The sequence below is a fragment of the Homo sapiens genome, chromosome 18 (genome assembly GCF_000001405.40).
Source record: "Homo sapiens chromosome 18, GRCh38.p14 Primary Assembly".
Classification (NCBI taxonomy): domain Eukaryota; kingdom Metazoa; phylum Chordata; class Mammalia; order Primates; family Hominidae; genus Homo; species Homo sapiens.
This window is the reverse complement of record NC_000018.10, coordinates 5,838,781-5,862,220: the sequence shown is the minus strand read 5'-3', so window position 1 is coordinate 5,862,220 and position 23,440 is coordinate 5,838,781. Positions and strand designations below refer to the sequence as shown.

The window sequence follows — 23,440 nt, the reverse complement described above, 5'->3', positions numbered from 1 at the left end:
CCTGATCCAGACCCCAAAAGAGGGTTCTTGGATCTCACACAAGAAAGAATTCGATGCTGAGCATGGTGGCTCACACCTGTAATCCCAGCACTTTGGAAGGCTGAGGCAGGTGGATCATGAGGTCAGGAGTTTGAGACCAGCCTGGCCAAGAGACCAGCCTGGCCAATATGGTGAAACCCTGTCTCTACTAAGGCATGGTGGCTGGTGCCTATAATCCCAGCTACTCGGAAGGCTGAGGTGGGAGAATTGCTTGAACCCAGGAGGCAGAGGTTGCAGTGAGCTGAGATTGCGCCATTCTACTCCAGCATGGACAACAGACTGAGACTGCTACTCAAAAAAAAAAAAAAAGAAAAGAAAAGAAAGAATTCGAGGCAAATCAATACAGTAAAGTGAAAGCAAGTTTATTAAGAAAGTAAATGAATAAACAATGGCCACTCCATAAGGCAGAGCAGCCTGCATTGTTTTCCAAAGTGATTATACAAATGTACACTCCTATTATAAACTGATGAAAGTTCCTTTTGCTCCATATCCTCACCAATACTTGATATCTGGGTTTTAATTATCTTTGTCAGTCTGAAGGATGAGAAATAAAATAATATTGTGGTAAGAATTCTAATTTCTCAGATTAATAATAAAGTTGAGTGTCTTGTTATTTGCCTATAATCTTTTGTATTTCTTTTTCTGTGAAATGCATTTTCATGTTCTTCGTCCATCCTTTTAGGTAGGAGTTAAGCATTCTGGATAACATTTTCTCATCTATTATGTGTGTGGCAAATTTCTTTTTAGAGTCTGTGATTGGTATTTTCACTCCCTTTTTGACATCTTTTTATAACCATGAGTTCATAGTATCAAAATAGTCAAGCTTTTCTTTGCAGTTTGTGTCTTGTATAAGAAATTCTTCCCTATTTCAAGACATAAAAAGTCATTAAAATATTTTTCCATATTATCTTCTCAAAATTGCATAGTTTTGATTTGTACGTGTTACTCTTAATCTATGTGGAAATTGTTTTGTGTTTGGTGAAAGTAGGAATCCAATTTCTTCTTTTGTCTATGTAGATAACCAGTTTTCTTAACACTATTTTTAAAAAATTTTAAATTTTGTGAGTATTAATAATACCTACGAGGTATTAACATTTATGAGGTACATGAGCTATTTTGATGAGGGCATACAGTGCATAATAATCACATCATGGAGAATGGGGGTTATCCATTCCCTCAGGCACTTATCCCTTGTGTTACAAACAATCCAGTTGTACACTTTTAGTTATTTAAAAATGTACAATTAAATTATTTTGACTATAGTCAACCTGTTGTGCTATCAAACACTAGGTCTTGCTGTTTTTTTTCTAATTATTTTTTGTAGCATTAACCATCCTCACCTCCCCCTGGTCTCCCACTACCCTTCCCAGCCTCTGGTAACTATCCTTCTACTGTCTCTCTCCATGAGTTCTATTATTTTAATTTTTAGATCCCACAAATAAGTGAGAACATTCAATATTTATCTTTCTGTTCCTGGCTTATTTCACTTAACAATAATGACCTCCAGTTTCATTCATGTTGTTGCAAAGGACAGGATCTCGTTATTTTTTATGTCTGAATAGTACTCCATTGTGTGTATGTACCACATTTTCTTTATCCATTCATCTGATGATGCACACTTAGGTTGCTTTCAAATCTTGGCTGCTGTGAACAGAGCTGTAACAAATATGAGAGTGTGAATACCTCTTTGATATATTGATTTCCTTTCTTTTGGGTATATATCCAGCAGAAGGATTGCTGGATCACATTGTAGCTCTATGTTTAGTTTTTTGAGGAACCTCCAAACTGTTCTCCATAGTGGTGATACTAATTTACATTTCCACCAACAGTGTACAAGGGCTCCCTTTTCTCCACATCTTGCCAGCATTTGTTATTGCCTGTTTTTTGGATGTAAGCCATCTTAACCATGGTGAGATGATATCTCATTGCTGTTTTGATTTTACATTTCTCTGATGATCCATTAGTGATGTTGAGCACTTTTTCATATGCCTGTTTGCCATTTGTTTGTATTATTTTGAGAAATGCCTATTCAAAGCTTTTGCCCATTTTTAAATTGGATTATTAGATTCTTTTCCTATAGAGTTGCTTGAGCTCCTTACATATTCTGGTTATTAATCCCTTGTCAGATGAGTAGTTTGCAAATATTTTATCCCATCTGTGGGTTGTCCCTTCACTTTGCTAGTTGTTTCCTTTGCTGTGCAGAAGCTTTTTAACTTGGTATGATCTCTATTCATGTATTGAATAACTCATCCTGATTGGAAAAAAAAGTCTTCATTATGTAGGCTATCTTTAACATTTTCCAATAAAAAGTTTTATACTTTTCTCCATGTACTACTTACACATATTTTATTAGACAAATGCAAAGTAATTTAATCTTACTGTTATAAATGATATATTTTATAGTTTAATTTTCTAACGGATTGTTGCTTGTATGTAGAAATACAATTAACTTTCATATATGGAGTTTGCATTCAGAAACCTTCCTACGCTTTTATTAATTACAGCCACTTCTGTAGATTAATTGAATTTTCAATGCTATCATCTCTAAATAATGAGTTTTGTATTTTCATTTCCAAACACATACTTTTTTTTTTTTTGCTTACCTCATTGTATTCACTAGACTCTCCTATATAATGTAAAACATATGATAGAGGGCATCTTTGTCTTGTTATTGGCTGCAAAGGGAATCTTTTCAATATGCCATTTTATTATTATTATTATACTTTAAGTTCTAGGGTACATGTGCAGAATGGAAATTATAACAAACAGTCTCTCAGACCACAGTGCAATCAAATTAGATCTCAGGAATAAGAAACTCACTCAAAACCACTCAACTACATGGAAACTGAACAACCTGCTCCTGAATGACTACTGGGTAAATAACGAAATGAAGGCAGAAATAAAGATGTTCTTTGAAACCAATGAGAACAAAGACACAACGTACCAGAATTTCTGGGACACATTTAAAGCAGTGTGTAGAGGGAAATTTATAGCACTAAATGCCCACAAGAGAAAGCAGGAAAGATCTAAAATCAACACCCTAACATCAAAATTAAAAGAATTAGAGAAGCAAGAGCAAACAAACTCAAAAGCTAGCAGAAGTCAAGAGATGACTAAGATCAGAGCAGAACTGAAGGAGATAGAGACACGAAAAACTGTTCAAAAAATCAATGAATCGAGGAGCTGGTTTTTTGAAAAGATTAATAAAATAGACCGCTAGTCAGACTGATAAAGAAAAGAGAGAAGAATCAAATAGACGCAATAAAAATGATAAAGGGGATATCACCACTGATCCCACAGAAATACAAATTACCATCAGAGAATACTACAAACACCTCTATGCAAATAAACTAGAAAATATAGAAGAAATGGATAAATTCCTGGACACAAACACCCTCCCAAGACTAAACCAGGAAGAAGTCAAGTCCCTGAATAGACCAATAACAAGTTCTGAAATTGACACAATAATTAATAGCCTACCAACCAAAAAAAGTCCAGGACCAGATGGATTCACAGCTGATTTCTACCAGAGGTACAAAGAGGAGCTGTTACCATTCCTTCTGAAACTGTTTCAATATGCCATTATTAAGAATGATGCTTGCTATAGGGTTTCTCCTTTTTAAAAAATGTCCTCTGTCAGATTATGGAACACTTGCAGAACTTCTCATCATGAAAAGAGATTTTTCACTGACTGCTTTTTCTCCATCTATTGAGACGGTGACATGATTTTCTTCCTTTAAACTGTTAATTCAATTATTTCAGTGAATTGTTTTCCTAATGTTAAACCAATCCTTTGATTCCTGAGACAAACATTTCTAGGTGATAATATATTATCTTTTTTTTTTTTTTAGGACACTGCTTGATTCAGTTTGCTGATATTTTATCTAGATTTTTTTTTTTGGTTTTATGTTTTTCCCCACTTTCTTGTTTGGTTTTGGTATTAAGACTACACTGGCCGTTATTCTCTGGAAGAGTTTGTGTAAACTTGAAATTAATTGTTCCTTGAATTTTCCTGTAAAGTCCAATGGGCCTGAAGATTTTTGTGTGTGTGTGGTTCTGTTGATGGATCCAATTTTGTTAATACTTATAAAAATTTGCAGATTTTCTACTCCTTCTAAAATTAGTGTAGAAAGTTGTATTTTCAAAATTATGCCATTATGCCTAAATTTTCAAATTAACGGGCTTAAAATTGGCTATAGTACATTCTTACCTATTACATTTCTGATGTATTGATAGTTAAGTACTTTTTTATCCTAATACTTCTCGTCTTTTCTCTCTTTCCTCTTACCCTTTTGAGAGTCTTGTCTGTTTTATTCATCTTTTCCAAAGAACCAACTTTTGCCCTTTGTTCTCTCATTTATGTTTATTTTCTCTTGCATTAATTGTGGCTTTTTTCTATATGATTACCTTCCTTCATTCTACTTCCTTTGGACTTAATTTGCTGGGTTTTGTCTAGCTTCTTATGTAGGATGATTAATGCCTGATGACCTTGACCTTTTTGATCCTTTTTCTTTTAAATGAAAGCATTAACAATTATTAAATTTCCCTACAAGTACCATAGCATTTCACAAGTTTGACATAGTATTTTGCTTCTCCTTTGATCCGTGAGTTATTTAGTAGTTTTAAAATTTCCAAATATATGGAATTTATTTCTAGTTTTGTTTTAACTCATTCTTAGCTTAATTGCGTTTTGCCCAGAGAACGTTTCTGTGGTGTTTGTTTCTGTTGAGGCTAGCTTTATGACCTCACAGGTGATCAACTCTTGAAAATGTCCCCACCTACTTGAAGAATGTGCATTCACTAGCTGTTGTGTGCAATGCTGCATGTATGTAAACTTGCAAATTGTACTGTTAAATCTTCTATATCATTATTCATGTTTTCTCTGCTTGAACCATTAATTTCTGAGAGAGGTGTGTTCACATATTCAACTATGTATTTGTTTTCTCCTCTTGCAGTTCTATTTTCTGAAAATTAAATTATGCTTTTAGGTGAAATTTTAGAACTCCATATCTTCCTAATGAATTGAACCTTCTATCATTCTGAAGTGAAACTCCACCACTTGTAATGCTTTATTTCCCTTTTAAAAAACGTTTTCATCAGATATTACCTAGCTATGCCTAGTCTTTTCTGGCATACTTGATTAATATTTTCTTTTTGGTTAATGATTTCCATTCTGCATTAGTCTTTGAGTTCTTATGATTTGGGTATAAGTAGCATATAGCTGGATTTAAAAATATTCACTTAAGTGGATTTTTAAGAATTTCTTTCAGCAAAGCTTCTGGCTAGCAAATCCAGAAAATCACCAGTTTCTATTTATCTTATTTTGCCTTCATTCTTAGAAAATGCTCTCTGAGTATAGAATTCCAGATTGTCAGTTCTCATCACCCCAAAGCTACTAGTCCACTGTTTTCTGGCTTCCATTGCTGTCCTTGAGAAGTCAGACATTAATCTAAATGCCAGTTCTTCCTTGGTCTTAGTCCATCTTTTCTCTCTGGCCTCTAAAATCTTCTCTATTTGGCATTCTGAAGTCTCATTATATGTCTATATTTTTTAAAAAGCCCACTATCTATTCTGCTCTTCACTGGGTTTCTTGGATCTGATATTTTCTCCCCAAATTTTGTCTCTGTTTGTTCTTATCTCCCTCTGAAACCTCAGTTAACCATGTTAAATTTCACTCAACTCTCCTTGTGTCAACCTTTATTTTGTCTTTTTCATCTCTATCTCTATACTACATTCTGGATAGATCGATCTGTCTCACTCATTCACTGATTTTCTCAGTAGCGTAATTTGTTTAATGTGTCCAAGTTGTAAATTTTTAATTATTATAACTTTCAGTTCTAGAAGTTTGTTTAGTTCTCTTTCAAATCTGCATGGGCCTTCTTAATAGACTGTTTTCTGTTCATATTTCAATCTTCTCTTTTATTTCCTTAAATGTATTGAAGTTCTCATGTAGTCTGGATAATCTCTTCCCATTGTCTGTTGATTCTGTCCTCCTCATTCGCGCATGTTCCTTTTGGGTGAAAGCTGCTCACTTTCTTAGAACTAGGTTGCTAGGAATTCTCTGAGGTGTGAGTTGAGGTTCAGTTCTTCCGGAGAACATTTGTTTGCTTCTCTCTGCTGCTTTAGGATTCCGCTAACACTGTTCTGTTCTAAATTATCAGTTTGAAGTCTTTTTGGAACATTTTGCTACTATAACCTTAGACCAAAAACCTGCATGAGGACAAATTTATGAACATGAATCCTCAGGGAAGATTTCCTCCCTTTACCCAGCACCAAGGGCAAGACAGTCTGTTTCACTGTGGGCCTCTCACTAACCTTGAAGCTAAGGATGTAGCTCTGTGAGATCACAAATTTATGCAGACTGCTTCTATTAAATTTTTCCACCTTGAGCAGACCCTGGGATCTTATGATTACCTCCTGTGTGGTGGCCAAAGGGTGGGGGCGATGTGCTGCCTAAGCTCTCCAGGTCCAGCAGAAACCCTCAGGGTGAAATCTGGCTTTGGTGTATCCATGTCTTTCTGGATTCCTGCTTTCACTTAACTTTGGGGATCTATGGATTTATTAATCTTATACCATCTCATATTCCATATTCTGTGCATTTAAATAATTTATTTTTGTCTTATCCAAACTTCTACTAATTTGTATTGAGAAGGTCATCTCAGGTATCAAATCATTTATAAATACAAAAATTAGTAGGGCGTGGTGGTGGGCGCCTGTAGTCCCAGCTACTTGGGAGGCTGAGGCAGGAGAATCACTTGAACCTGGGAGGTGGAGGTTGCAGTGAGCTGAGATGGTGCCACTGCGCTCCAGCCTGGGAAACAGAGCAAGACTCTGTCTCAAAAATAAAAAATAGATAAATAAATAAATATCATTTATACAGCCAGAAATAGAAATCCTAGACTTGACCCAAGCTTCTTGCTTTGTGCCTTCTATTTGTCCTCCATTTTCCATGATTTTTTTTTTTTTCAACTTTTTTGTTTTTATTTTTCCCTTTCTCCTTGTACTGATTTGTGATTCATTGTTTCTGTGTTTTTAGTATTTACCCTCAAAATGTTACCTGCATCTCTACTTTAACCTTGCTTCTGAACAATAACAAGGCTTAGAAGATTAAATCCAATTACCCCTCTTTCAATTTACATGGTATTTTTAAAAAATCAGTATCTTAGCTCGTTATTTAATTTCACAATTTAAATATTTTAATTTTCTATACAAAAATTTTTTCAGGCTGGGTGCGGTGGCTCACGTCTGTAATCCCAGCACTTTGGGAGGCCGAGGTGGGAGGATCACTTGAGACAAGGAGTTTGAGACCAGCCTGCCCAACATGGTGAAATTCTGTCTCTACTTAAAATACAAAAATGTGCCAGATGTGGTGGCTGGCACCTTGGGAGGCTGAGGCAAGAGAATCGCTTGAACCCAGGAGGCACAGCAGGTATATAGTTACGAGTTGCCAGTTGTTTTTTTCTTAGCACTTTGAAGGTGTTATTATCCAGTCTTTTAGCTTCTATTATTTCTGCTGTGACCCCCACAATTTGTTTTTCTCCTCTATCCGCCCCCCTATGTTCTGCACTTTTTCTTCTCAAATACTGATGACATTTATGTTTCAGCCTTCTCATTGTGCCCTCCACATAATCTTTTTTCTTTAACTCCTTATCTCCTGGCTGCATTCTGGGTAACTTGGATTTATCTTGATGTTTATTATTTTTTCCCTTCTTTCAGGAGGTGCAGGGCTTCCTTTTAAATTGAATGATAAATTCAACGATTTAATGATTAAATTGTATGATATTAATTCTCTCTTCATCTGTGCATAACATGCTGTCTAGAACATTTCAAGAATTATACTTTTTATTTCATCTGCATTTTTGATAGTCCTTAGTTCCTGCTTATTTTTAAAAATTCTATTTTGGATTGTAATAGTTCTTTCCTATTTCAAATCTGATCATGCCAATCATCTGAAGTCTTTGTTCAGAAAGTAAAATACTCTATACTGATGAATTGCTTTTGCAAACTCTCACTCTGCTGGTTTGTTTCCTTAGGTATATGAAGATTGTGTGTTTGACTATGTTTGACCACACAATCCATGAGAGTTCTGTGTTCTTGGGTTGCTTTCCTCCACAGATAATGTGCCTACAAGGAACTCCTAACATTTCAACTTTATCCACTTTCAGAGGTGGGTCCCAGGTCCAAATCTACTCCTGGTGTGGGCGTCTGCCCCCAGGAAAAATCCAGCTTCTTGCTATGCTCAAGTCCAGTCTTAGCCCACTGTTATGTTCTCTTGTTTGCAGTTGTTTTTGTTTGCTTGTTTTGGCCTTGAAAACTCTGCGTTTGCTTATGAGGTCAGCAATGCTTGAAAAATCGTGCTTTTTATAATCTATTCAGAATCTATCGGTACTTTAGCTAATCGACTCTTCATAATGTCTAGTCTGCCGGATTGTTAGATGTCAGAAGTCTAATAAATGACAGTTATTATTGATTCAGAAAATACAGCTTTTATACCACGGGGCCATGTGGGATCCAGTCTTGGAGTGCTGAGAAATTAATAAACAGTTATTCAAAGAGGTTGACAAACATAATTGATTGTTGCTGAGTTACACAGATTTTTGAATCAGCATTTTCGAAATTGGAATTAGGTCTTCATAATGTAAATTTGTTTTGACACAGCTGCCATTTCAGATTCAAATGACAGAATTTGGTCTGGAGGAAGCAGCATACACTGTTCAGTTGTTCAACAAGGCGGTACTGATGCCACTGATAACACGGCTTCCTGCGGCAAGTCTTTCTGCCAGTTCACATCAAAATATGCATCTAGCATGACGGAAAAAGTGACCTTTTGGATCCCCAAGTTCATTTTCTTATTGTCTCCTTCTCTCCCTTTTCTCCTCTTGCTGGCTGGCAAAACTACATCTAGATCTTAAGTTTAAACCCCAAAGGGAAGCAAACCATTAAGAATCGAATGGGTGCTTGTCCGAGAATCTTAGGCCCTCCAACATCAGAAATTTACAAGACAGAAAATAAAAGAATGTGCCTTTTCGGTGGGAATAAAGATGGTTTTGTAGTGTATCCTGTGTGCTGGAATAACTAATCTAGTTGAGGTCTTCATAATAAGATGCACCCTTCTATTTTCACTCATCTCAGATATGAATTATTAAAGACTGTCTTATTGTTCCTCTGTAAGTTCTGCATATAATGTAGAACTCATCTTGAAAAAAAGGAAAAACTGGAAGTAACAGAAAGAAAAATAATGCATCTGGAGCTTATGACTCCCGCCCATCGTTAAATCACTTCTTGTACTTTTGTACCAAAACATTTTCCCCATTTTATTTCCATCTTGTGCAGAAGGTAATTACCCTTCAGAGACACCTGCAGGGAGAGGCTACGAGGATGTCTGATAATTTTTAATGTGTTTGTCTCTATATTTTCTTTCCAACATTCTACTAAGTCAAGCACATCTGCTGTAAAGCGTCAGTGGAGGATGACTTCATTAAATGTTAAATACTGTTTTCTGCCTTTACAAGTGTTTGTCCTACACAAAATCCTCAAATGGTAGGGGCAAGCAGGAGGGTCACAAAAATCTTTATGAACCCCAAACTGCCCCTTGCAATAGGCCACCCACTGCGATGCTGTTCGTTTCTTACAAGCGTTAACCACCCGCTGCTTTTCCCAGTAGAACAACTGTTATAATAATATCTCTACATAATCATTTTAATGATAACTTGAGACAATATATTTGTTGACTAGAAACAATCTTTAGGATGTGTAAAACTTATTTGTACCACAGCCGATCATTCAAAATGAAAAAAAAAGTAGACATAAGCCTTATATTGCTTTTCCCAAAATCTATTTCTTTGCCTTTACATATATAATCAGAAATATAGATTTCAATCTATTTTATATTCACTTTGGAATCTTCCCGTTCTATAATTTTAAGCCCTAGGAAAATCTGAGACTGTTAGTTTTCCTTTTAGTGCCATCTGCTGGTCTAGTTATTCTGACTGGGTTCTAGTTTGTTCACTAGAGAAACTCAGGGTTTTCATACAATGAAAAATTTTCACGCAGAAATCTTGCTAAAAGATTTTTATTTCACATGAACCTAATATTTGTTATATTTGAATTTGGAGATCTTTTTTACTTAATCCCCAAAGTTATAATTATCATGACTTAAAGTAATTTTTTATGTGTATCCATATCTATGTTATTTTATATTATATGTTATTACAATGTATTGAGTCTGACAAGCTGACTTTTCTATTTCCCTTGATAGTTACAAAAGTTTGGAAAGTTAACATTAATGTTTAATTACTTAATTTCAAAGAATGAAAATTTAAGGCTACAGAAAAAAATTGATAACTTGAACATTTTATATGATTTCAGTGAACTGTTTCTAACCTCAGAAAAAAACATTTACACTTAACCATATACACTATTAAAAATGTGGGTTTTGAACTGGCGAGTCTTGGATACTTTCTGCATTATCATATTTAGTTATGAGCAATTTTGTTCTGGTTTTCTGTAGTCTATGACTGACACCTACCAAAATCCCAGATGTTCATTTATTGTATTGTTTCAAATAGATGTCTATCCACAATTTGCAATCCATATGGCTTTCCAATAAAGGGTATTTCTCCAGCTCTGTGCTTGCATCCAGATCTGGAGGGTGCCCAGTGGTTTGCTTGCTGTGCCTCTGGCATGTTCACCATCTCAGTGGTTAGCCGAACACTGGAAAACATCCTCTCTTTCCTCTGCTCACTGATGAGATATAATTTATGTTGATTCAACTCTTCACAAATTGCCATCTGTCAGCTTTGTTTTTTCTAATCCCTCATCTCCTTCCTCCATTATAATTGTTCAAACTGGCAGAAGCTCAGGTATTGGCTTAGAGCAAAGGCTCTCTGTCAACAGAGAAGATCTCATTTGAAATCCACACCTCACTCATAAATTGCCTTCTTTTCAATCTTAACTGTGGCAATATTTTCATTTGGTTTCTCATCGTCCTCCGATTCACAGGAAATAAAACAGCAGCACCCACTGACATCTCTGGCTTCTGAGACTGGATTGAGAAGCACTTTGGCATCCATGTCTTCCAAATAATCTGCCTTCCTTGGTATTCTCTGGTCTTGTTTTAGGTTTCCAGGGGCTAGACATATGGAATATTGACAGTGAGAATACCCAGATTCCTGCTTCTTTGTGTGCCTGGGGCACAGATCAATTTTACTGAAGATTTTTGTCCGAAAGGGACTAACTTCTTATTCTTCATATAGATCTTTAAAAAATCTTTCTATAGCCCTGGAATATAGGAAAAGTCATTTAATGCTAATTAGAAAGTAGACAAGCACCATTTAATTAATAAGAATATTAAAACGTGATGAAAATCTTCATGTCAACAGACTAAAATTAAGCATAAGTAAATCTTAATGTTTTCAGAAGTGCTTTCCTTAAGCTGAAATTTCTCAACCTTGACACTACTGACATTTTGGGCCAGACAGTTATTGGTTGCGTGGGTCCTTCTAGTCACCGTGGGATGTTTAGCAACAACCCTGGCTTCTATCTACTGGCTCCTGCTAGTATCCCTGTCGCCCAGGTTGTGACAACCAAGAATGTCCCCAGACATTGCCAGATATCCCTTGGGAGATAAAAGTTACCCCTCCAACTGAGAAACAAAATCATTATATATGAACATTAATGAAAGAAAAATACTAAAATATGAGCGATTATCCAGAAGTCCAGGTGGTTTTGTTTAGCTTTCAAATGACCACACTGTAAGAGCAATGTCAAAGGAATTAAAACATGACACAAAAATACAGAATTTCAAAGGAGAGAGGAATATAAAAATATTTATTCCAGAAATGAAGAGCTAGGATGTAGCTCATGACCACAGACTGTGGACATCTTCCCAGCAAAACGTGAGGCCCGAACACAGGACTCATTAGTCAAATATTCTAACAGAGATGTTTCCAATGACGTTATTTTTTATTTTATAAGAAATCAGAAACCTGTGAAAACTTGTGATGTATTGCTGTTAGTGGCAAACTGCTTTTAAAACCACTGATCTGATGCATACAATCTGAGTGATAAAAGAAGGAAAAGTCTCTAATGGGTTATGTTAATGTCATGGTTCTTGGCCACAAGCCTTCCGAACACACCCTCATCGATGACCTGTCTATACTTGAGTTTTATGCATTTCCTGGAAGCAGAGTCCCTATGCTCCAAGTATGCACCAGATTATCTGGCAGCTTGTTACAGTGTTCAGCCTGATCCCCATTAAGCATGGGAGTCATACATTTGTAGTTCTGAGGAAGCTTTTCCGATGGACATGTTAATACATACCATGGCATTCTATTATAGCAAGTTTCCTTACTTCATGCAGTTGGATGTACCATGAGCTAAATCATGCCCTTGAAATATAAAATCTCATGCGATACAAATTTGATATAACATGGTTAGTTCTGAAATAGAAGTGTTAGGTCCAACCCAAATCCTTGCCTTATAAAGGAATTACATTTTAAACAATCATTCATACTGTATCATATCTACCACTTAAACTAGTGTCTGACTTTGTAGTTTAGGGCTAATGGAATCAATCATGCCCATTATGGTTGGTGGAGACAATATCTTAGAGCAGTTAAAACAATGGGTGACCTGACTTTGCTTACCTGTTTCTGCATCTATAAAATGGAGGATAATAATAGTTCCTGTGCCTCCTAGGTTTGTTATGAGGGTTAAATGAGATACTAGATATGAAACGTATAGTTCTGTATCTGGCATGTAGTAGTAAAGGCTCAATAGTTCTTAGCCACTAGTACTTTATTTAATTACATAATAAATATTTTTATGGAGGCCACCAGGTGACTGTGATAGTCTCTTTTACTCCAAATACTTCAATAGGTAACCTATTGAAGTAGAACTAGGGAAATTAACACCTAAAAAAAGTGGTTAGCCTTCTTAGAAGTAACCCAAGACATTTTGAGTGCTTGGTAGAAGAGATTGGCAAACTCTTAGGTAAAGTAACTGAAATTTTATAGAGAAATGTAGGACCAATATATTATATCCTAGCATACAACCAACAGGACATCGAAAGTCATCTTGGGATATTTAAAACAATTTAAGAAGGAGAAGGAGGTGAAACAGCAAGGATTTCAGTTTCTTTCCAACAGTGACGAGGGTCTTAACAAGCAGCTGTACCATTTCTGATCCCTGTGGTGGGTAGATGGTGGAAGCTGCCACACTGGACTATCACAGCTGAATTGCTGGATTGCTAAGATATGCTGCTGCTCTGATTCCTGCTTGCCAAAACCACCTTCTGAGAATCATTTGACTTCCCTTGTAGACTTCCCACTGGGACAATATGTCCTGGCATACACACATTGATGTTGTGGTCCACCTGGAAGTTATAGGGCTCACTGTAAATGACACCTTTGCATGCTTTGGGGGTCTGGTAAGTCTGTGACAGTTCAGAAAATGCCTCAAGAATGAGAAGCAGCACAGGACATGCAAAGCTAAGAACTCGGTCTCTGAAGATTGATCTGACCACAGGCGTTTGTACAGAACAACGTACTTTAAGTGATCTCTAGCTCAGTGATCTCAATATCTCTTCAATGCCTGAATACTTTGCTCTTTGCCACTCACTCAATGTGGGAACTGAGTCTGTTAGTCTTACTGGTAACTATAATCATTGACAGAGTGAGGATTCTAGGCTTCTGAACATGGTCAGCCCTCTCCCTTAAACAGTGAGAAACTGAGCAGCAATTTAATTATTAAACATGTATACATACATCTATAAAATTCACTGCATTATAGAATTATGAGAAAATTGTCTTCTATCTTTGGAGGGTGAAAGGCCCTAGGAGAAGTATCTAAAAATATCTCAAAGATATTTCTAAAGAAAAAATTTAATGCACTGAATACCTATAAAAAGAAAGTCAATTGTTAAGTGTTAGATAAATTTTTTAAAAAGCTTAGCACAAAAGAGGTAGCAGATGGCATAAAAATATTTTGAATGTCTTGATACTTATAAAGGTAATATGAAATAGAAATGTAAGAATTATTAGCTATTAGTCCAGGAAAACTGTTCAAATACCACTACATGGTGTACCATCATTAGGAACTTCCATAAAGGTTTGAGATTTGGGCTGGCAATCTTTCTTGTCACATAACTGCCACTACTTTCCAGAAGCTTATGCCCTACAGTGTAGTTTGGCATTCTATTACATGTCTGTTGGGTCACACTAGTGAAGAAGGAAAGAAAAGAAGGAAGGAAGGAAGGAAGGTCATTATTGGGGGGTAAAAAACCAACACAAACTTGTATGTTCACTGGTGGCCAAAAACAGGGTCAAAATGACCTATTCCACAGGTCAAAGAGCATTTGTCTCAAGACTATGAGGTGAAAGGAGTGTGTGTGTGTGTGTGTGTGTGTGTGTGTGTGTGTGTGTTTTGGGATGGGAGACTGTGACTTGATGTTCTTCTGAAGGTTGTTTGGTACCTCAATTTTTTTATAAAATATGCCAAGCCTGTAAACTAGGACATCTTAGCCAAGGGGATTTTCATTTTGGCTGTGGAAGAACACTTTTTAGAAACACTAGTGCTTGGAGACTTCCACCAAAATAAGCTGAATAATTGTGATTTTTGTTTTTTTAAACTAATAGAGAGCTAATAATGCAAAGAAGCTTAAATTAGTTGAATTTCAGAAAGTGACGAGCCCTTGCCGGGAGATGAGAGACCCATGACTTCTTTCTTACCTGTGGAGTGGCAGGAAGGGTAGGAGCCCTCTGTAAAGGGGAGTCAGGAAAAGCCGGCTGTGACAGTCTGCTCAGGCTGGCATGACCAGCACCACAGGCTGGGTGGAAGTCCCAGATCAAGGTGTTGTAGGGTTGGTTACATCCTGATGTCTCTGTCTTTGGATAGTAGATGGCTGTCTTCCTCCAAGCCTCCACAAGGTCTTCCCTCTGTGTCTGTGCCTTAATGCCCTGTTCTTAGAAGGACACCAGTCTTATTGGATATGGTCCTGTCTACCATAATTACCTCTGTAAAGATCTTATCTTTAAATAGAGTTAATCTCTGAGATGCTGGGATTAGGGATTCAACATATTAATTTTGTGAGGACACAATTCATCCCAACACCACCAGCCCAACTCTTAATGAGCTTTTAATACCCAGAGGTAGTCTGCTTCACACAGTCAGAATTCCATAGGCCTAGGCACAAAGCAACTTTTCCCACCTGCAACTCTTTCCCCCAGGTCTTTACTGAATGTTTAGGGGGAGTACATCCATTTCCTGTTTCTGCAGTGATAAAAGACCACAGACTTATTGGCTCAGAACAAGATAAATGTATCATCTAACAGTCTGCAGGTCAGAAGTCTGACACAGTCTCACTAAAATCAAGGTGTCCACAGGGCTGCCCCATGAAGGCTTGAAGTGTCTCCCCCAGGGGCAAGGCAGTTGCCCTCCAAAAGAGATAGGAAGGCAGGAAGCCAAGGGGCCTCCACAGAATAGAAGGCAGTGCTGAGCAGGGCTGGAGAGCACAACCTCCCCAAGATTCCAGAGCAGCTGGCAGCTGGGATGGAAAGTGAAGAAAAGTCTCCCAACTAACCAGAAAGCTGGCCAGTTCAGCTGTCAAGGAAAAGAGCTTTCCAGGATCTCACCAGTGCTTGTATCCCTGGCCCTGAAGAAGAACAAGGTCTGATTCTGACCTAAAACACTGGAAACTGGTGGTAAACTGACTCAAACTCAAGTTTCCACAAAGCTCACACCCAGCATGACTGCAGATGAGACAGAATCAGTCTGGAGTCAGTGTTATTTACTTCTGTCTCTACCATTCTTTCATACAAAATGTTCAAGTAAAAGCCAATATTACAAGACACACAGAGAGGAAAGAAAATGTGACCTATGGTCAAAACCAGGAATGAGTCAACAGCAGCAGACCCAGAAGGCCTAGACATTGGAATGAGCAGATAGGAACTTTACAGTGACTCCGATGAAGATGCCAAAAGATAAAGACACCAGGGACTGCATACAACCACTGACTGACTTCTAACTAACTTCTAGTTAGAAGATTTGTTTCTTACAAGGTTTTGGGTTGGCTATTCTGAAACTAATTTATATATGTATTAGGGTTAAACATATAAAAATATTATCAATAATGAGAGTCAGGCTTCTCACCATCCAAGAAAAAATTATGAATTAGGAAAGGAGGAAGGCAAGAATGAAACATGAGGTGTTGGATTGCAATAGGAGAAATTAGTATGAATTCATGAACATTTTTTTAAAAAGTATATTCAGTAGAGAGATATAGAAACTAATAGATGTGTGTATGCAAGGGTGGGTATGCATACATATATTTCCAAACTCTACCGCTGAGAGGGACTGGAGGCAGTGATTCCACAGCAGCGATGAGCACACCTGGTGCCCAGATCTTGGTTTCTAAATCCCATTCTCCATAAAAGGAACCACAGCTCCTTGAAAAAAAGTTTGATTCTAAGGCAGGGTTAGGGAAAATATAAGATAAAACAGGAGCATCTTCTGGTACCAAAAAGTAAGGAAGTATCTGAAAGATGATGGGAATATATCAAGAGGCACAGACACCAACATGAAAAAAGCTCCCAGTGGCCAAAGGTGGAACCATTTAAGAAATAAAATAATAATAATATTTTATTCAAATACATAGAATGAAATAAATATTTATGAGCACATACTGATATAAATAAATAATTGAATAAATGGGAGAAGAGCTCTTTCTTAGAGAATTCTAATTAATAAATGTAGAAGAAATAAGGGGAATCAAATATTACTGATAGAATACTGCAGTAAGATTGTTGTAGGAAAGATTCACCAATGGATGCTAAAATTAGTGGACAAAAGTTTAAAAAGAAACAGTGTATTTGCACAGTCTCAATGTACCTCCCCAAGGAATGTTTGAAAACTTTAGAGTGAAGAAATCCAGAACCCAACACCATTACCATCACTAGTAATAAGACATATCAACATTACATATCACTGCTATAGCTATAATACATTGAGAGAGGTACTCCACTTCTGCAGAGTTCACTGAAAATGCATTACTTCAATCTAATCATGAGAAAACATCAGACAAAGCCAAACTGAGGGACAATCTGCAAAAACCAGAATTCTTCATCAGTGTCAAGGTCATGAAAGACAAGGAAACACAGAAGGACTATCACAGACTGGGGAGACTATGGCAATAAGACAACTAAATGTGGCGGGGCATGGTGGATCATGCCTATAATTCCAGCACTTTGAGAGGCCGAGGAAGCCTCTCACTTGAGGCCAGGCGTTTGAGACCAGCCTGGCCAACATGGTGAAACCCCACCTCTACTAAAAATACAAAAATTAGCCGGGTGTGTGGTGCATGTCTGTGGTCCCAGCTACCTGGGAGTCTGAGGCACGAGAATATCTTGAACCTGGGAGGCAGAGGTTGCAGTGAGCTGAGATCATGCCACAGCACTCCAGCCTGGGCAACAGAGTGTGACCTTGTCTCAGGAAAAAAAAAAAAAAAAAAAAAAAAGACAACTAAATGCAAGGTGGGGCCCTATATTGAATCCTTAAACAGAAAAAGGATATAACTAGAAAAACCTAGTGATATCCAAATAAAGTCTATAGTTTTGTTAATAGTAATGCACCAGCATTAATGTTTTAGTTCTGATAATTGTACTATGGCTATACCAAATTAAGGGTATTCAGGTTCTCTGCTGTTCTTGAAATTTAGTATAAGTCTAAGATTTCAAAATAAAATGAAAAAGAAAAAAGGTGCCAAAGAATCTGGTGGAAAAGGTTGACAATATCCTTGTAGAGATGGACAATTTCCACAAAGATATAGAAACTATTAAAAAAGAACCACATAGAGATGTCAGAACTAAAAAATACCAATTGCTGGGTCTTACACAGCAGAAATCCTGATGTAATTGGTCTGAGACTGAGTACAGGCAGTTGGAGTAATGTGTGTGTGTAATTTCCTGGGTAATTCTAATTATAGCCAAGGTTGGGAACTAGTGGGCTAGCCTAACCAAGTTAGCATTAAAATATAAAGAAACCATATAGTGTGTTGTGGGTCCCTAAGACTACCCTAATACTTGGAGTTTCTCTAGAAGAACTCATGGGGATCATTTAGTTTGAATCATGGCTAAGATTCCTTCCAGCAACATAGTAATGATATACAGCCAGACTGTAAGAGAAAAAGCCATGGTGGAGTCTTGAGAAACCAATGTGCAGGCTTCCTCATGCTTTCTCCCTCCTGCGAGGGGACACCCAAGAGCATGCTTCTTTCTTCAGCAACAAGCATCTGCTGATTCTGCCCAGGGATGCCCATTAGATAAGTCAAGGTTCTCATTAGAAAAGCCCAAGGTTTTTATGGGGAGCTGGTCACATAAGCACCCTCTGCCTAACATGTAACCAGTTCAGACTCCCAGAAGGAAAGCAGGTGTTCAGTGTAAAACCACATTGTGTATAGGCACAGGGAGTCACTCTTCTCAGTTAGGAAAAGTTGAAATCATCATAAGGAACTGTGTACCAGTCAAATTCTCCGACGCAAGGCAAGGGACAACCCCAATCCCTATGATAACTCCATGGGGTGGATATTATCTTACTTAACAGCTGATGGAATTTGAAGCTTAGAGATTTTTCTTTTACCCCAAGAGATAACTTACCCCAACATCACAGCCAGAAAGTAATTATCCAAACCCACAGTTCAGTTCTGATACATTCTGTTCTGAATCTTTGTTTTTTTTCATTGAAGTTAGAGATAGAAAATAGTTTTCCCTCTCTTTACCATAGAGCATTTTTGAACAAAAGAGACGATGTCTTCACAAGTACCTAGAAAGATAATACGCGAATCCTATTCTTTCCATGGTTATCATCAATGTAGGTAGTTTTAACAAAAAGAAGGGCCTTGGGTATATCAATAAATATGACATTTGAACAATCAGCTTTAGGAGTTTCCTGAATCTTTTTTCTACATAAAAGTAGTATATGAAAGTATAAATTTTCCAAATTATTGTTAGTTTGCTTTTTATTTTAAATGTAAGTATCTGGGAATTTGTTTTTCATACATTTGTTTCCTCTTATTCCTGGACCATGTGAAATTTTTTGTAAGCAGTTACACGATTCAAAGCTGCTGGCAGTTAACCAACTTGTACAAAACATGTGCTTCTACCACCTCTCTGGTAGTTCTATTTCAATAACCATTAAGCTTGGTTTTACTACCAAGACTCCTACATGTAGTTCAGCACCTGGAAACCAAAAGGTGAAAGAAAAGGCCTATTCTATTCTCTACTGGAACAAATCCTCCCTTTGTACCATGCCCTAGAGGGCACCCATGGTCTCTCCCTGGATCCTGGGAGCAGGACTTCGCTGGCTGATCCAGAGATCGACTGTAAAAACTTCAAAGAGGAGCCGTCCTTGTGGTTGGGTTCTTGTGGTAGAATCATCTCTCATAGGACAAGCCATGGCTGCTGCAAAATTGATGCTGATGGAAGCAAAGATGCTGATTTAGGATTTCCACTAAATGATAGCCTTAATTAAGAGTCTAAGTTTCTAGAATAGGAGTCAGCAAACTTACTGAAAGGGCCAGATAGTAAATATATTAGGTTTTGCAGGCCATATGGTGTCTGTCTCCATGACTCAGCTCTGCTGTTGCAAGAAGCCTTAAACAATACGCAAACACATGGGCATGGCTGTGTTTTAATAAAACTTTATTCACAAAAACAGGCAGCCAGTTGGATTCGATTTACAGGCTGCAATTTGCCAGCACCTGTTCATTAGCAGACTTTGCTATCTGTGTGCTTTCCTCTAATTTAAGATATCTAGGGAACTGTTACCTTCTTTATCCGTAGTGTACCTAATTATTCCTTCCTAGAGCATAAGCACAGTCTCTGTATACTAATACAAGAAGTGTCATGAGATTGGTTTACATACTTAATTTTCTTTGTAATGGACATCAGTACTCATCATTCTTAAATACAGAAATGCAGATAGAGCCTGTGTGTGTTAATCAACAGCACAAGAACCACTGTGTCTGTCACACTTCCACATCCTACATGAAGAACAGCTGGCATCTGACTGCTTTTGCAAAATGCATTTCAGGTACAATGTCAAAGAACTATCTCCAGATCCCTATATACTGTACTACATCTGGAAAAAAAAACTAAGTTGTAGAATCACCAGAAATCATATTGGCCCCACCATGCAGAAATTCTTGGAAGACCAAACTTTACAAATACAAGTAAAATCTAAGTAAGGCATTCTGGTTCACAGTAGCTTTTTTCCTAAATGCAGTCTGAATTTCAAAATGTAGCTTAGCTTATTCAGTGATTGATTTGCACAAAATATGAATGCCATAAAACACGATTTGAATTTTAACTGTAGATGTCTTGGGTATTCTCCGTTTGCATTAAAACCATGGCCAGTTGTATCATATAGTAATTACAACCAGTAGATGGCATCTAATAGCTAGAATAATATTTTGGAACTATTTTTAACAACAGACTTGCTGATTTATGAGGGTTCACCCTCTGGTGTTATTTATACTGGATCATTTTAATTTTTAGCCTTCATCATCACAGTTGAATTTTAAAATTTCCATCCAATGAATTTATATAAAGGGTTACAAAAAGAAGAAAAACCTCCTCAATTTCAACTGGATAGTTTTATTGCACTTCCACATAATAAGCAGATTAATGTTCTGAATTTAAAAATTGATATAACTTGAAGACATTAAACACTGAGCACAGGCATTTCAAATATAGTTGGCTCTCTATGATTGAATAAAGCTGAGTTGCTAATTTCTGGACCAGGACCAAAAAATATATAATGAGTGTAACACCATACACCAACCAACTTGAACAAATTCAATGAGTCAATTGAGTTTAAAAGTTTCACAAATAATTAAATTACTGAATAGGATAGACCAGAAGGAGAAAACCAAATTATTTAATTCTGTTCCTTAGAGCTCAATTTGCTTTTTAGCTGACTGTATTTAGCTATCTGCAACTAAAACAAACTAATATCATTAAAAACCCATCTATTTTCTTATGCAACCTCAACAAAATATCAATGGGTTTCACCACTTGCAGATAGTATACTTTTTAAAAGGAGGTAAAATCTGCCAGTCTCAACTCTTTCTTTCCCTGCAATGCTCATCAAAGCTAGCATTTTAGATTATAAATAATCTGAGGCCAAGAATAAAAAGAATGCTTCTTTATGTTGTCTAGGTTGTGATCTACATATTTTGGTGTCTGAGTTAGATGGATTGCATAAATAAAATAGCATTCTTGGAAATATGAAGGACAGAGGTCTGTGGGGGAAAAAGAATCATCTAATCAGAGACTTGTTTCTTACTTTAATCATGAGCCATAAAAACAGCCAAATCCCATGTCATGCTGCAGTAAAGGTTACATCAGCACTTCATACAATATTTATTGTGTAAAGGAAGCCCTGCAGTCCAACTCCAATATGACATTAATCTTCCTGCTCTCTATATCCCTCATTCCATCCTCCCGCCTCACGCCCACCCCTTCCCTCAGTTAAATGTGCTGGTTGGTGCCGCTTATATAGTGGAGATACCTGATGGGAGGGCACTGATATAACAAGAAATCTAGACGACAAAACAAACAGAGAAATAGATCCAATCCTAGGAAAGCTGCATTATACCTTTTAAGAAAGGGGGGGGGGGTCAATCATTTCAGTTTGCCCTAGTTCGAGGGGATTCCTGGATGTGGGACTTCCAGTGCTAGGGCCAACAATGTCTTAGACAAACCAGAAAAAGTTCGTGACCTAATGTTTAACAGGCTTATGGCTTCAGAATGTGAAGGCATCATTCAAAATTATTTATTACACCCTAGTCGTATAAGAAATCACCAAAACCAAGACATGGTACTGGGCTGTGCTACTTAAAGCCTGCTGCTACTGAGACAAAGGTCAGGGTTTAATTTCCAGAAAAGCCAGACAGCTTTTCTATGATCTCAGACTTCTTCATTACACCCAACCATCTAGGCTCATGGGTTTAGGGAGGGTGAGACAGGGCTTTAGAGAGCTAACAATTCAAGGAACTAAATAGCTACATTGGGACCAGCATCTAAAATCAGAGCTTACTGGCAGTATTTTCCTGTGGTATTGCCCATTCTGTAATACTCATTGAAAACTTATTTATACTCAAAAGAATGCATCAGAGCAGCTGAAAAGCCATGCAGGCGTAAGGATTCAATCAACCTAATTACTGTTCTTCTCCATGAAGCTGCTCTGGATAACTTGAGGACCGTCAGGTGGGATTAGAAAGCTTTGCTGCCTGGAAGTCTATGCTCATTTTTTGAAAAGCTCTCTCTCTGACTCCTGGTAAACAAGTGATGAAGAAAGGTACTGCAATGGGATGCAAGTTATATCATCACCTTTACTGCAACAATCTAGGGAATGGCAATATATGATCTAGCAATTGAATAGCCGAAGTTATTAAAAGGTCCCCTTGGTAATTGTACACTGAAAACTCAAAACTAGCATTGTTCCATTTAGTACAAACCATGTCACAGAAAATGACTTTGTTTTAACAGAATCCCTTCTGATAACGTCTGCTCACATTAGGCCAGGTAGAGAAAGAAGAGAGAAGATTTCCCCCTTTTGCCTGTGCTCCACTCTAGTTATTCCATTTCCCCATTCATGTCTTATAAGCCCCCTCACCTTTCATCCACATTCGCCTTCCCCGAGATCAGCACCAGCTCAGAGACTTCACTCACTAGAGTCTTGTTGCTTTTTAGCAACCCTTCTTCTGAGGGGACCGTGGAGCATCTCATTATTCTTCTTCGGAAACTGGATTTGTGGAAAAGCGTGGCCAGCCCTGCCCTGTATGTGTGTGGTGTGCACACTTGTGCACAGAGGCCTCTGCCAGAAGAAGTGGCAGATTGGCTGTGTAGGCAGCAGTTTCATGGAGCCCAGAAATAAGTTCTGCGGCATATGCAAATGTAAGCAATGGGGGCAGCAGAACGGGCCTCTAGGTTCAAAAATGGCAGTTGTCTCCAAGAGGCCAGCCTTTTTCAAAAGCAGACCACTAAAAGTTATTCTTACGAAAAATGCCTCCCTCTGAATGAATCTCAAGTTTCTACTAGTAGGTCACTGGTGACTTCTTAAAAAGCCGTAAGTAGCTTACAAAAATATGTTATCCTGGAAAGGTAATGATTAGCAATGTATTACATGTAGTTATTCCAGAGTTCAAGAGATAGTGAGAACAGATGGATACATTTTGACTCCAGGTCCCTATGAATAGGTGTTTGAAAACAGTCCCAGGGAACCAACGGCTAGGAGTTGGGGGATAAGGGTTACAGGTAGTCTACCTGATAATCTTATCAAAGGCCAATAGCCCCTCCTCTCTTTTGCCTTCTTTTCCTATGAAGGGAAAAGGTGAAAAAGACTC

The 23,440-nt window shown here is 37.5% G+C and overlaps 1 long non-coding RNA gene and 1 other non-coding gene across 11 annotated transcripts in view; both read right to left on the bottom strand.

Moving 5' to 3' along the window:
* The window catches only part of MIR3976HG (MIR3976 host gene), a 165,609-nt gene that overhangs the window by 52,187 nt on the left and 89,982 nt on the right, over positions 1–23,440 (bottom strand). The gene's annotated exons all lie outside the window — the stretch shown is intronic.
* Positions 21,388–21,526, bottom strand: MIR3976 (microRNA 3976). Its single transcript, NR_039772.1, has one exon. It is a non-coding gene; the product is annotated as a microRNA 3976 (primary transcript).